The 15,030-nt window shown below is 44.5% G+C and overlaps 1 long non-coding RNA gene across 14 annotated transcripts in view; it reads right to left on the minus strand.

The window, feature by feature from the left end:
• TNPO1-DT (TNPO1 divergent transcript) overlaps positions 1–15,030 on the minus strand; it is a 245,434-nt gene that overhangs the window by 75,526 nt on the left and 154,878 nt on the right. For 4 of the 14 annotated variants that reach the window (NR_105007.2, NR_186513.1, NR_186510.1 and 1 more), the window contains one exon: positions 13,927–14,044. The exons of the other annotated variants lie outside the window; for them this stretch is intronic. This is a non-coding gene — a long non-coding RNA (TNPO1 divergent transcript). The remainder of the gene's footprint in view (positions 1–13,926; positions 14,045–15,030) is intronic. 14 annotated transcript variants of the gene reach the window in all.

The following is a 15,030-nucleotide window of genomic DNA, read 5'->3' on the forward strand; positions in this document are numbered from 1 at the left end:
TAAATATAATGATGAGTAATGATAATTTCATAAAGTCATCCTTGCTAGAAAAAGCTGACCATCATCTGTCATATAAACAACAGCAAACATTTTATGGTGCTATATATCAGGCATTTTGAAAGTGTATCATTGCATTATTTCATTTTATCTCGACAGCAAGTCCTAGAGGTAGTGCTCTGTATTGTCCCATTTTACAGAAGAAGAAATTGAGGCACACAGGGTATGCCACAGGTAGTCACAGTCAGAAGAGCAGTTTTACCAAGTCTGTCTGACTCCAGAGCCTATCCTCTTACCACTTAGGTTAGGCTGCTTTTATAATAATAAAATAATAACATCGTAACAACTAACACTTATTGAGTACCGGTTATGTGCCAAACAACTTGGACATACTTTACATGTAACAGTTCAACTCATCAGATGACTATTATTGTCACCACTTTGCAGATGAGGAAACTGAGGCTGAGAGAGGTTAAGTACCTTGCCCAAAGTCTCCCAACTAGGGGTGGCAGAACCAAGTCATAGGGTGGGCCTCTTTAATCTTTCAGTGTCCCATCTCCCAGGCTTTGGTGCTGACTTATGGCTGGAGAATGGCTGTCAAGAATAACAGAGTTGCAGAGACTCTGTGGCAGTGGCACAGAGCAAAGCCAGAGGGCCAGTGATGTCCAGACATCTCTCCTGAGCACATAGGAGCAGGGCTGTGACCTGGGTGAGCTCAGTGGACATGGGAGAGGAGCAAGGCTGATTGCCCCAAAGCTACAGGGAAGGGATCTGAGGAATCAGCAAAGGGCCAAATGTAGGGTCAACACAACAAAGATTGTGTAGACAATGGACAGACCCAAAGAGGCTGGGCAGAGAAGAACAACTGGATCCAACTCCAAAGAACTTCAATCAGGGCAAAAAGACAGAATGGACAGGCATGGGAAGACAGCCATAGGTGAGACTCTAGGGCCTGAGAGAATAGAAGCAGAATTCCCGTGTGATTTGGAGACAAGCTGGTCAGAAACCCAGTGAGATGAGGGGGAGGGAGGAACCCTAGCCACTGACCTCATCAGACTCCTGATTAACTGGGTTAACTGATCCCCAACTAAATAAAAATCACAATCATGCTGAACTTTATTTTTAATTATTGCCCCATAGAGACAGATGAAGAAGTCTATGGTCCTCCACCACAGAGCTTGCTAACATTCCCATTTGCCATTTACCCAATTTACTCTGTACCAGCCATCCACTGAATTCACTGAAGGTTTTTGTTGGAGAGCGTCTTGACTCTGGTTATCGTCTTCAATAAAACATGTCTCACTTTGTTCTCTATCAGTCTATCTCCCTGGACACCCACATAATCATCCTTTTGTAAACAAAGCAGGCTTTGAAGCCTCTAGGAGTCCTGCTAGGCTGAGAGAGATGAGAATGAGCTGCAGGCTTCCTGGTGTGAACTGGAGCCTGGAAATATTTTATAACCTGTATTGTTTTTCCTGATTATGAAAGTAGCAAGTGTTCATTGTAGAAAATACACCAAAGCCTCAAGAAAAAATGCTATTACCCAACAGAGATAAGAAACATAACATCTGGTTTAGAGCATTTTGGCATAGATAGATAGGTTGATTGATTGATTTTAAATTTATGGCATTAAATTATGTGCAGTTTTATTTCCTGTTTTTTTACTTGACATAGATCAAAAGTGTTTTTCCCATGTCAAATCAATATTCACTGTAAGATTTTTCATGACTACATATTCACCAATCCTATTGAATATGTTAGACTTGCATTTCAGGGTTTCATATTTGCCTTTATATCAGGCTGCTGCGTTTGTTCTGCAGCTACATACTCAAACCCTGCCTTCTCCATGGCCTCTCTGTGCTTTCTGAAATTTAACTCACAGGTGCCAGAAGACCCTGTTAAATAAGCACTGGAAAATAGTTATTCTGGGTTTTGTCTTGAGTTCTGCCAATTCCCTAAGCAGCTACAGCCAGTTCCCTCCTCTCTGTGTGTCATCTCCCGCATCTGTCAGGTTACACAGTCATGTCTAATTTAAAGCCAAGCAATTTGGTAAAGGAGAAGACTCTCCCTGGCCAGCCTCATCACTGAACTGCAGAGGCTGGCTGGGAGCCCAGAAGAGCTGGTGTTTCTTGCAGAAAAACCATCATGATTACCTGTGCCAGGCATGGAGCTAAGCATAATATACATCTTTTTTTTTTTTTTCAATCCTCCCAACATCCCAGTGAGGTAAGAACTATTATTATTCACATGTGGTGGAACAAGAAACTGAGGCTTGGGGAGATTAAATAACTTCACAGAGGCCTAGAAAAGTAACAGGATGGCTGAGCCAAACCCAGCCTGAGCTCATAGCCACTACTGATGAGTCCTGGAGATCACTGTCACTTTTTCTAGGGTGAAGTGCTTTTCCCAAAAGACTCAGAGCTCCATGGCCCTGTCTTGTGAGGGACCATTTGACCAGATGCTTTTCAAAGATGACACATCTGCACATTTCAGAACCCAGTGGAAGTCTGTTCATGAAGCAAGTTTTTTTAATGTTCAAATCAAGTAGGAAGGACTGAAAACAGGTGTGTGATGCATGAAAGAAAAATGGCTCTTCAGACAAAACTCTGGAAAATTGAGACAACTCTAAGATCTGATTTTAAAAAGAATCCCAGAGCCTGACATTTCCAATGGCTCTGGTCTTCATTCTCTTTCCTGAGTGTTTGAATCATAAAAGCGTGTAGCTCTTTCATCTCTCCCTCGTCCTGCTCCTCCCCTGCACAGACAAATGGTATTTTGAGTTTTGTTCCCACCCCAGAGTACAGATCTATTTTTGTGAATCCAGGCTCCTTCTTCCAAAGCCCCTCACTGTCCCATTCTCCACTGTGTCAGTCCCTCTTTCCTGCCCCCACACACCCGAGGGCCCGTGACGAGCCCTCAGAATAGAGAGAACCTCATCCTTCCCCTCCTCCCAGCCTCCCACAATGACTCACACATTGCACAGGGCAAGCAAGGCAGGAGAGGCCTCGTCACAAAACAAGCCAGTTGTCATGCTTTGTTCTGAGTCTACACAGCCACCACCACCGTTGAAGCTAAGCCTTTGCCAGACCTGGTACTATCTCTGCTCAGCATCCAAACGATACCCACAGTGCTCTGTAAGAGGAAGAAAATGAGGAAGAGATGGTGGGCAGCTTTGGTCTGCCAGGACTAAAGACGTACCATCCAATTCAGCAGCCACTAGCCCCACGTGTTTATTGGGCACCTGAAATGTGGTCAGTCCAAACTGAGATGTGCTGTGTTGTAAAATGCACAGCACATTTCAAAGGTTTTTATATGGGGAACAATGTGAAATGGCTCAGTCACAATGTATGTATGTATTACAGATGACGGACAGCTTTTTCTAGCAAGGATGACTTCATGAAATTATTATGACTTGTCATTGCCTTTATAATATTCCAGAGTTGACATTTGAATTCTAAAGTAAATCATGCTTTCATGTTTATGCTGAAGAATCATAACTGTGTGAGAGTGGGATTCGAAATGGAATATGTATTTATTTATTTATTTAAGTTCCAGGATACATGTGCAGAATGTGCAGATTTGTTACGTAGGTTTACATGTGCCATGGTGGTTTGCTGCACCTATTGACTTGTCCTGTAGGTTCCCTCCCCTCACCCCCTCACCCCCCAGCAGGCCCCAGTGTGTGATGTTCCCCTCCCTGTGTCCATGTGTCCTCATTGTATAACTCCCATTTATGAGTGAGAACATGTGGTGTTTGGTTTTCTGTTCCTGTGTTAGTTTGCTGAGGATGATGTCTTCTAGCTACATCCATGTAGACCTGGAATTTTTAAATTGAGTATGTGCTGAAATGATAATGTGTTGAGCATATTGGGTTAAATAAAATATGTTATTAAAATCAAGTTCACCTCTTTCTTTTTACTTTTATAATCTGGCTACTAGAAAATTTTAAGTTGCATATGTGGCTCACAGTACATCTTTATTATGTTTCTATCATGCTGCACTGAAGTTAGCATTTCTGCTGGCCAAGTAGGTGAGATAGGATGCAAGCTTGCTGCCCCTACTTCTGCAGCTGTAAAAGCAATCAGACCTCCTCTGAACCCAGCTCCTAGCTCAGCAGGTCAGTCCATAGGTACATCTGGATGTGTTTGAAAGGATCCCATCCTAGTATATAGCCATTCCAGGGCATTGGCCTTTTTCAGGCTTCTTAAAAATCCAGTCCCTCCCTACACTATTTCTACTTTCAGAAACTCATTATCCTTCCTGAAAGACAAATCACTTTCATCTGTTCCACACTAGCCCTGGGTCCTTAATTGCATTCTCTATCCCTTCTTCTTCCCAAATCAAAAATTCTCTTAGGGAAAGATATGCAGGGGTAAAGAGTCTTGTGTGGGGTACCCAAGCTGTCATATAACGTTCCTCAAAGAGGAACACCACACAAGCATCCTTTGGCCAAGTCCCATTGTCTTCTGGTAAACAGGAAGAGAGAGAGGAAAATATGGCTGCGTGTTTTTCTCTATGGCCATATTTCGCAGATCTTCAAAGAAGCCTGCCTCCAGGGCACACTGCTTCAAGGGCTTCAGCAGCAGCTTGAGAAATCTAATGATCACTGACGCAGTGTACCATGACGCAGTGTGCTCAGGCACTGGCAACATCAGCATTCTCAGAGATGCAAATTCATGGGCCCCTCCGCAGATTTTCTGAATTACAATCTTTAAGAATGATCCCCAAGAACCTATGTCTAACAAGATCCCGAGGTGACTCATGCACATTCAAGTTTCAGCCACGCTGCTAGAATTGACATCTACTGTTTTCGCCTGCTCAGCCTCCATAGCCACTACTCTTCTTCCAACAATGCTCCCTGATTTGTCTCAGGAACCCAGCCCTCCTCCCAGTCTCAGGGTGTTAGGGCTGGGGTGGGAGTACTAACATGTTCCCTTAATTCCACCATGGACGTGAGACCCAGCCGTGGCCAAGCAGAGCATGACATCACTGCAGCCATACTGATTGATTCATGATTTGTGTCTTGTGACACAAATCAGGCCAATCACAGCAAATAAGACATAATTCCAGGGCTTTGGTCAGTACAGTTGGAAGAAGCAGGCATGATCTTTTATACCGAGGTTGCTGAGAAAATGGGATATAAGCCTGAAACTGCTGTCAGCTGCCTTGTCACCATGAGGGAAGAGCCCACTTGAGAATGAACCCTATAGAAGGCATTTCTAAGAGATGGCAGGAGAGAGACATTAGAGAGAGGACAGAAATCTGGATGCAGCCTAAGCCCAGCTCTTCTCAGGGCTGGAATGTGCCATTCACCTCAAAGTCATTCTGGTTTGTTTATTTACTAAAAAGTTTTCTGGCAGATGGCCAGATAGTGCCTTCATGATGACACATTTAAATTTTCACAAAGGTGCCATTTGGGCTGCTGGTAGTCCAGGCTCAACTCTCCAAACTTTTCACTTCCTGTGTGAATAAATTCTCTTTTTGGCTTAAGCCAGTTTGAGTTACCCATCACTTAAAACTAAGAGAGACTTGATCCTTCTATATGTACTACACAAGCGTCTTGGGGATGGGGAGATAGGAAGATATATGATACTCAAGGAGCGGGTTGACTAGCCATCTCCTAAGGCACTGAACAAGACTAACATTTTCTGAGTTGGGCAAACTAAGGCTACCTCAGAGCTCCCCTAGAACCTAGGATTATCTGTATTTGTTTGGTTCTTCTAAGCACACCCTGAGACGAGAATTGGGTGCAATCCATTTATTTGGGAGATGATCTTAAAAAGCACCATGAAGGAGTGGAGAAGTGGGACAAGGATGGGAGGAAGGTCAACAAAAGAAGCAATACTGCAGGGGCGTGGCTGTGACAACGGAACTCTCTAGTGCTGGGCCTTTGAGAGACGGCAGAGCACACCTTGGGCTTGCTCAGCATGGGGGCAGGGACATGTTTATGCAGACGCTGCTGAAAACTGCTGCAGAAGACCCCTGGGTGAGTGAAGGGGATATGTGCAAGGCACCAACAGCATCTACTATGACTTCCCTGTAAAGTCTTGTATGGATAAAGACACATTTGGAAGTCACTGGTCTGGATGATGTTTAAGGTCTCCTCCAGCCCTGTCTGATGTCCAGTACCTCACAGGCTCCCTCCTGGATATGCCTCTGCAGAAAAGGCACACGCAGCAGGTGCTGCTGCAGAGGAGAGCATCATCATCTGAGCCAGGCAGGCAGCCCCTTCACACTCCTGTCCTTCGATGGAGAAGATCTCTGATGCAGGCAGATCAGAGCTCTGACCTGAGCTCTAAATGCCCTTAGAAACTGCAGGGTGAATCGGCAGCTAGCTTGTTCATAACCCTTTGCGTGATTGTTCATCCTAGTGCCCAGTCCTCAAAATACAGCCTTGAATAACATCAATGGGCTAATTGTGCAGCTTCAGGGTCTCACTTTATAAACAATATGAATCCCAGGGTCTCATGTGTTACTGAGTTGGCTCCCCAGGAGTCTCTCACCAGAGTTGGGATGTTTTGGAAGGAGGTGCTTCATAGTCAGTCCTCTGTGTGTGTGTGTGTCCCTCGTCTTAGAGCTTTGAACGAATAAGAGACTCTCAGCCTCAGTTTCTGTACCTGAAAACATGTAACTGTAGCTGACACTTGGGACTGTCGTGAAGATTAAAGATAATATATGGAACACTTTTGGAACATAGAAGACACTCAGGGATGAGCAATGGCTGAACAATTGCAGGGTCTGGGCTCTGTAACTTGGATAAAAAGGAGACAGGATATTTGCTCAACTCCAGAGACTAACTAAATGGAACCTGAGAATCTAGATTCTCTCTGTGAAGGGGGGCATTTTTTGAGAACTTAATTAATCACAAGGAGATTACAGAAAGAGACATCTCCTACATTGGCCAAAGCTATTTTCTACCTCCTGCATCCACTTGTTATTACCTGCCTGCATGGTATATGTCCTCATGATGTCATATTCCTTGATTAAAACTTGTGTTTATCACACTTGAGACAACTAGTAGGAGACGATATTAGTAACTTGACCCTTCAGGGAGGCCCTGCAGGGCAGAAGGAAGAAACTTTGGAGTCACACTGCTGGATCTGCTCTTTTTCACACTGTGTGGCCTGGAGCAAGTCATTTCACATTCCTGGCTTGATTAAAACTATAAAATGACCAGCTTGAACCAGATGATCTCCAGGGCCCCTTGCAGCTCTAACAGGATGCTAAGTGCAGACCTCTAAGGAGGGGCCGGTCTGCATTCCCAATGCTGCAGCCACAAGAAACTCTCACTGTGATCCAGAGTGCACAGGCTCTGGGAGGCACACATCTGGGACCAGCCATACCCTGTTCCCTTCCAGGCCTGTTTTCCACTTAGTTCATAGTGGAGCTGCCAGCCAGAAAAGTACTTAGTGCAGAGTGGGACAAATGACACCAAGGCCTCTCTTTTGGGCTTTCTGCACATAAATATTGTGCCCTGACTTGATTTCTACTGCCTTCTGCCCTCCCCTTTCTCCCTGGACCCAGCCACAGTCCGGCACTTGTCGCTGAAAGCCTTAGAAGAGATAGTCCCTCCCAGAGACACAAGGCATCCCTCCCTGTGCTGAGGGCCACCCTGCATCCCCCAGGACCAGGCCACTTTACAGGACATGGAGACCTCCCTATAAGGTTCATGGGGACCTTCGAGCAGCACTCCTCCTCTCTCCCCACAGAGGGAGGGGTACATATGGCTTCTGTGTAAAGGACATCTGCCATGCAGCCAGCCCTAAATAGCAAGGCTGCAGCAACTCACGCTTTCATACAGCTTCCCCTGAGAGCCCAGATGGTACAGGATTGGGCCCTGGTGACAGGCTGAGGCTTGCTTTCCACAGCTAAGGAGACAGGCTAGCTGAAGGTTGAGAAAAATCTTTCAAGGCTCTTGCCTCCTGTCTGGGCCTCTGGAGCAGAGCTGGGAGTCACTGGTCATTATGGCTTGGATTTAGGGCTTCCTATCTAGACTCCATCCTTTGTAAAAACAAATTCTGAATAATGCTCCAGCTGAATGCAGAACCTAAAGCAAGGGTGCAACAGGGATGTCAGATTGAAAAGATCAAGAGGGAGTTGGATATGGTGTCTCCAGATTCTTTTCTAGCCCCACTAAGATTGAGAGCTGTTGGACTCTTTGGGCTGAGCAATTGTCTTTGAAACTGCCTGCTAGGGCTGTGAGGTTTCGCTCCTCCTTTGTTGGGTTGTTACACTATCTTTATGGCTTCTTATGGAGTCCTCTGTGAGCATCTTGGAGTTTTCCATTTATTTATTTGTTTGCCATTTTCCTCCTCTTTTCCCTCTACGATGGCCACTGAACATAGAAAACGATGGTCTATTTACTCGAAAGAATGGAAAGCAGGATCTCGGAGAGACATTTGCACATCCATGTTTACAGCAGCATTAGTCATAATAGCTAGAAGGTGGGAGCTGCCCAAGTGTCCATCAGCAAATGAGTGGATAACCAAATGTGGCATATACAGACATACAATATATTACTCAGCCCTTAAAAGGAAGAGAATTCTGACATGTGCTACAACAAGGATGAAACTTGAAGGCATTATGCTAAGTGAAATCAGCCAGTCACACAAAGACAAATACTGAACCATTCCACTTCTGTGAAGTATGTGTCAAATTCATAGAAACAGAAAGTAGAATGGTGGTCACCACGGACTGGCGAATGGAGAACTGTTATTTAATAGGTACAGAGTTCACGTTTTTGCAAGATGAAAAAGTTCTGCAGATCATTTAGACAGCAATGTGAATGTACTTAACACTTCTGAACTTAAGAATGGTTACGATGGTAAATTTTGTTCTGTGTATTTTACCGCAATTAAAAATTAAAATAAGAAACCAGGGTGGCAGGAGATGAGCTACATGAGAAAGCACGGCAAGGCCACGGTGCAGCAGAGGTACTCGACACTCCAGTGTGTCTCTGGCTGAGCCCTTGCAGAGACGGCAGATGCCTCAGCTCCATAGCCTGTGGCCGCATTCAATGACCAGCAGAAGAATTCGGCCTGTTCACCCCTTAGCTTCCTTCTGGGTCACTGAAGACTCCTCTGCATAAGACACCTGAACCCACACCCAAAGGAACCATTGTCAGCACTCAGATAGGAATGCTCAGTGGTGTGTTACGTACTGAATGAAAGGGATTGGAAACAGCCCTGGCTTCCACTCTGACTAGGCCATACCCACAAGGAATGCCACCACCAAGGAAGCAGTGGATAGAAGCTCATCCTGACATTCAAGGTCATGATCATTGGAAAATGGTTTCTTTTTCTTTTTTTCCTTTTCTTTTTTATTTTTTTCATTTTTAAATTCCCTCCCTCCCTCCCCTCCAAGAAATAGCACAGCAGTAGCATTGTTCAAAAGGGTTGCTGAAGGTACAAGCCCTTAAGGAAGTCCACTGACTCTGAACTTTGGCTCTGTCTTTTATTAATTGTTTTGTTATGAATAAATTATTTAACCTTTCTATCATTCGTCTTTGAAACAGAAATAATGATAGAGGTGCTTGTTTAGGTTTTGGGAGAATTAAATGAGATTCTGTTTAGAAGCTCTTATCCCAGAGCCTGCACAGAGTACTTGATAAATAGGGACTGTTACTATTTCCTCCACCTAGCCAAATCCTACTCATGTTCTAAGAACCAGCTCAAGCCCCTTCTGCCTCATAGTCTCTAAGAGCCCACCACGAATCAGCAGCCCACCATGAATCAACAGCTTAGTACGAACTCTCCCATCACACAAGCCATTTGCATGCTTCAGCCCTGTGGCAACTCATCAGGGATCAGGCCTCATCAGACCCCTCCACACTGCAAAGGAGAAAGGTTAAGAGCTGTCACTCTTACAACTCCCAACTGTATAAGAATCACAAATGATGGCTCATGGGTTGCACTTAGTAACTGACAACCTAAGAACTCAAAACATGGCCTTGTTCATTCTTGCAGTTGGGACTAACCTTATTTGTATTCTGTGATTTGAAAGGTGCCAGAAAAGACTGCCACTCCACATCTCTGCACACTGTTGCAGCGGGCCTTCAGCGCCAGTCACTTGGTTTCATCTATCTCCCTGCTGCCTCTTCTTTTAAGTGTAAAACTTTCCTCCAAGGGATCTCGCACTCACCTGACCTAAGTGAGTTTTTTGATTTTCTGAGATCATCTTTTAAATTGTGAATTTACTATAAATTTACAGTTTGGGGCAAGGATTCAGAAAGCAAGGGATTCCAGAGAAAGCTGACCTACTTTACAATGAATCCATCTGTGCACTCTGCCTATTTGAACACTCATTTGGTGAACATTTCTTGAACATCCACCATGTGCCAGGCACTGTTTGCCCCAGCGGGGATGGCTCAGCTTGACAACCCTCTTCAAGCCTTTGAAAAGAAGATTATTCAGAATTTCCAATGCCCCTTTGGTATCTGGTGTATTGAGTATCTCTGCCTGGTGATATGGGGAATATAAAGCAATTCAGTTGAGCAACTTTAGTTCAAAGGCTGTGATTTATTATCCCTTATTCTGAGAACCTCATATGTTGCCTGGCATATGATAGCTTGGTAGGATGGATGAGCAGATAGATGGATGCATAGAGGGAGGCATGAATGGGTGCATGGATGCATGGATGGATGGATGAAAGCATGGATGCATGGATGAATGCATGGATGGATGGATGGATGGATGGATGGATGGATAGATGGATGGATGGAAGGATGAATGGATGGATGTTGTGGATAACATGAGTCTTAGTTTGGGTTACCCAGAAGCTGATCCTGAGACAAGGATTTGAGTGAAAGTCATTTATTTGAGATGTGAGATGGGTATGGGAAGGAAGCAAATAAATTATGTGTCATCAAGCAGGTTACCACTATGGGTGAGCAGGGCTCAATCCCACCAGGGATTTCTGGAGACTTTATAGAACATGGCTTAGAGTCATCCCACCCAAGGTGCAAGGAAGTGGGGTTTTGAACCTCTAAGTTTCATCTAGCATTGGCTAAGGACTACTCCAAGGAGCATTAACTCCCAGCTTGGAAGACTTTTGACTAAGAGGAAACCTTCAGGCAGAGAGGGGCAGTGCTTGCAATAGGACAGCTGAAGAGACATGGATGGAACACTAACAGTGTCTGGTACAACAGTCTCAGAATCAGCGTCAGCGCTCATTTCACTCACTCTACCTTCAGTGTGCAGGTTCCTTTCCTAAAAATAGAGGACAGTCACTCACTCAGTCTCTGAGGGGGCACTCTGAGGAATCTCCATCCCTTCCTCGTGTTCTCTCCCCAATGCCCCAACTGCAGTGAGAAACTTGTAAAGTGCCCTAACTCTGGGAGGATAATTGTGTCCCTCTGTCAGCTCTGTTAGGGTGATAAGCCTGTTTCTCAGCACCCTTGGTGTATTGCCTGGCTTAGCATCAAAACACTGACCTGGACACATCATACAATCTTGACGGGGTGTTAGGGAGGAACACTTACTCCCCAGTCTTCATGGCTTCATGTCTATTGAGGGGTGTCCATCAGAGTAGTGCTCCTGGCCTGACTAACCTGGTTGATGAACATGGAAGAATAATCTGCTGTGAACATTTGAGTCCTTCCCTCCTCTCTCTTGTTCCCTGGAGCCTACTAGCGTGTAGGTAGCACACATTACCTGCTCCTCCAAGGTGGGGAGGCCTGTGGTTTTCCAGCACAGCTGGGAGCTGGGTAAACAGGTCTGCCTACATCTGGGTAGAATATTAGAATTACTGAACCACCTAGGCCACATTCCTTACATAGCATTGGCAATAACAAATGTGATATATCTATCTGCATGCAACTGATCTAGATCTATCTCTCAGTGGATTCCAATCTGAGCGGCATTATTGACCTTCCTAAAACTCCAACAGGGACCTTATCCTAGTATCTGCGGCCATTAGAATGCAATATAGCATTCAGTGTGCTACACCAAAAATGGCTCCAAGATCCAGAAAAAAAGGGAAATGTTACATATTGTTCCCTCTTTTTGAATATTCACAATGCTCATTAGTGTATTAAAGGCTCTCAGAAACCCATCAGTTATAAATAAACAAACAAAAATCTTGCCAACCTTTTTAAATAAGTAATGTATTTGACCTTGAAACTCTTTTTTTTTTCAATAGCCTCTATAACATTTCAGGAGGCAAGCTTCCACAGAAAATACTTTAGAAAAGTTTGCATATGCTGTTCCTTCTCCCGGAACGCCCTCTCCTGCTCTCCTCCATGGATCTCTCATGTTCAGCTTGCTGGATACACCAAGAATGCAAGGCCCTGACAACTCTTTACTTGGGCCATTTCCCAAGATTGCATTTGCAGTGAGCAGCCTTGAGGGATGAGGTCATGTCTCCCTCCAGGACAAGAGGAGGCTCACTATAAAAGAGGTGTGATTCCTACAGCACTACTAGAGTCCAACATCACCTTACCCCAGGTTCCAAGGACCTTGTTCGAAGGTAAGACTCATGCCTAGTACCACACTATTATACCAGTTTTCATTCCAGGTTCACTCTCATTGGGATGATCTGTATCATTCAGAGAGATACTCCACTGCAAAAATATGAGACATGGCTTGGAGAAAGGAACTGCCCCTGCAGGACGCACCCAGAGAGGTAAATGCTCACAGCTGTCTTGTGGTGAAGCCAACAACAAAGTGACAGCAAAGCCACAGACAGACAGAGTTTCTCTCCTATTCTCCTTTTTGTTGTGTAGTGAGTGCTGTGGTGGGCCCTTTTGTTTCCTTCCACTGGGCCCCCCAGTACCTCTTCAAGACTGAAACAATCATTTGGCCAGCTGCTGGGAGTATTAGAAGCTCCCAGCTCCCAGCTGAGTCCTTCTACAGGAATTGCCCTTCTCTGAATCACAGGCTCCTGAGTAGAGGGAGGTGGACCCATATCCAAAGACTGGTCAATGGCCAGCCCTTTTGCTGCCAAGTGGCACAACCCTGAAGAGTCTCTCCGACTCCCAAGCTCCTACGGAATCAGCACCCACAAGGCAGTTCACCTCTTCCCTCTGCCCAGTCCCGCCGCCTTCGCTCCTGTAAGCTGCCTGCACACTGGTCTCCATCGCAGAGTCTGGTTCCTAGGGAACCCAACCTCACACACACTCTGGGAGTTTCGTTCTCTTCTACCAGAGTGAGGCAATGAAAATCAGCACAAAGAATTCTGGCCAGTACTGTGGGTGAGGAATCCATTTCAGGAGGAGCCACCAGAGCGCAAGCACCAGGTCACAGCAACAGAGTCCAAGGGATCCACAGGCCAGAGAGTGTAAACGCTTGTAACTGCTGACCAAAGGCTCAAGTATGTGGTCTAGTGTTATCACTTGTTACCTCTGAGGAGTACAGAGTTGTGGTTCTCAACCTTGGCTGCAAAATAGAATAACCAACGGTGTTGCTAAAATTAGTGATGCCTGGGCCTCATCTCAAACCAACTGAATCTGAGCCTCCTGAGCCTGAGCCTGGCCATCAGTATTTGGTAATCACTTGATTTCTCTGGGCCTTGCTTCTCTCATCTGTTAAAGAGGCAATAGTAGTTAGCTCCCTACAGGGCTGACGGGCAGGTGCTACCTGGTTATCATTCCGTTAAGTACCTGGTGACTTATCAGGCATTCAATACTGAATATCTTCCCCACCTTCCTACTTAACTGCATGGTTAGAAAAATGCAGATGTTCTAAATAAGGATGCCAAAGCACAAATATTGCATGTTATTGGTTGTCTTCAAATCAAGAGGCATCTATTTTACCATCCCTTAAGACAAAGGTCTTCCTAGACATTGGCCAAGATCGTGGACAGATTCAATGTGCCCTTGGGCATATTTACATAAAGTTTCTTGAAATATACCTTCTTTTTGACACATAGTCATATGAAAACTGTACAAGTTTTCTTTTTAAACAGTAAAATAATTTGTTCAAAGCCACTTACCTATTTTGCAACAGGATAGCTTGCTTTTAAGACTGTTTGACTTCATATCCCATCACTGCTTCTTAGCTGTGTGACTTTGGGCAGACCATTTAAACACCCTTTGCCTCAGTTTCCCCACCTACAAAATGGCAATAATAATAACACCTACCTCATAGGAGTGTTGAGCTGATTAAATGATATTTTGCTTGTTAAGTATTTATCAGAGAGGCTGGCAAAGAGTAAGTACTCAGTGAATGCCAGCTATTTTTATAATTTCTTGGAGTGAGTGAAAATATGTGCCAGGTGAATTTTAAAATTTTAATTCCATTAGCATTATTAAAAATACAACCATATTAGGGTTGCAGATTGAATAAAACCACATGGATTTCTCATAAAGGTTTTGAGAATTTGTGAGCACTCTACTAATAAAAAAAGATGAATTGGGCATATCATCTTAAGCCCAGAAAAAGCTGAAATAAAACACTTAATTGTGTGAATTTTATTCCATGGTGTCAAACCTTAGAGAAACCGGGATTTAAAGGTATTTCAAATTTACCTCTTTTACAGTAAGCATATGAGGAAAAGGCTAGTTTCATCAGCTTCCCTTGGTAGGTATTGAGAAAGATTAATGAATGTCTTGAGTTTGAACATTAAGTTCTTATGTGTTAGATTTCTATAGCCTTCACTTCTTGATGTTTAGGGAAAAACAATTAAATATGTCTCCGCATTTTGCTCCATACATATTAGATAAATCAACTGGAAATTGTATTCAGCTACTAGTAACAGAGACTTAAATATTGGCTTAAATAAAGCAAGGATTTTTTCCCCTTATAAAATAAGAGCAGTGCAGGTATGATGACTCCAAAGCACCATCAGGCACCTAGGCTCTTTCCAGCTCCAGGCTTCACCATCCCTAGGCTGTGGCCCTTGTCCTCAGGCTTATAGGATGACTGCTGGAGCTCAAGCTCTCACTTGAGTGTTCTAGGAACAGACAAGGGAGACACAAGGAAAGGCAGTGGGACCTGCTGACTGAGTCATCCTCCTTTAAAAAGCTTTCCCTGTAAGCCCCACTCAGTGACTTCCAGTTACATATTACTCTGCCCACCCACCGCCCTCATCCCATGA

This window comes from Homo sapiens, chromosome 5 (assembly GCF_000001405.40).
Source record: "Homo sapiens chromosome 5, GRCh38.p14 Primary Assembly".
NCBI lineage: Eukaryota > Metazoa > Chordata > Mammalia > Primates > Hominidae > Homo > Homo sapiens.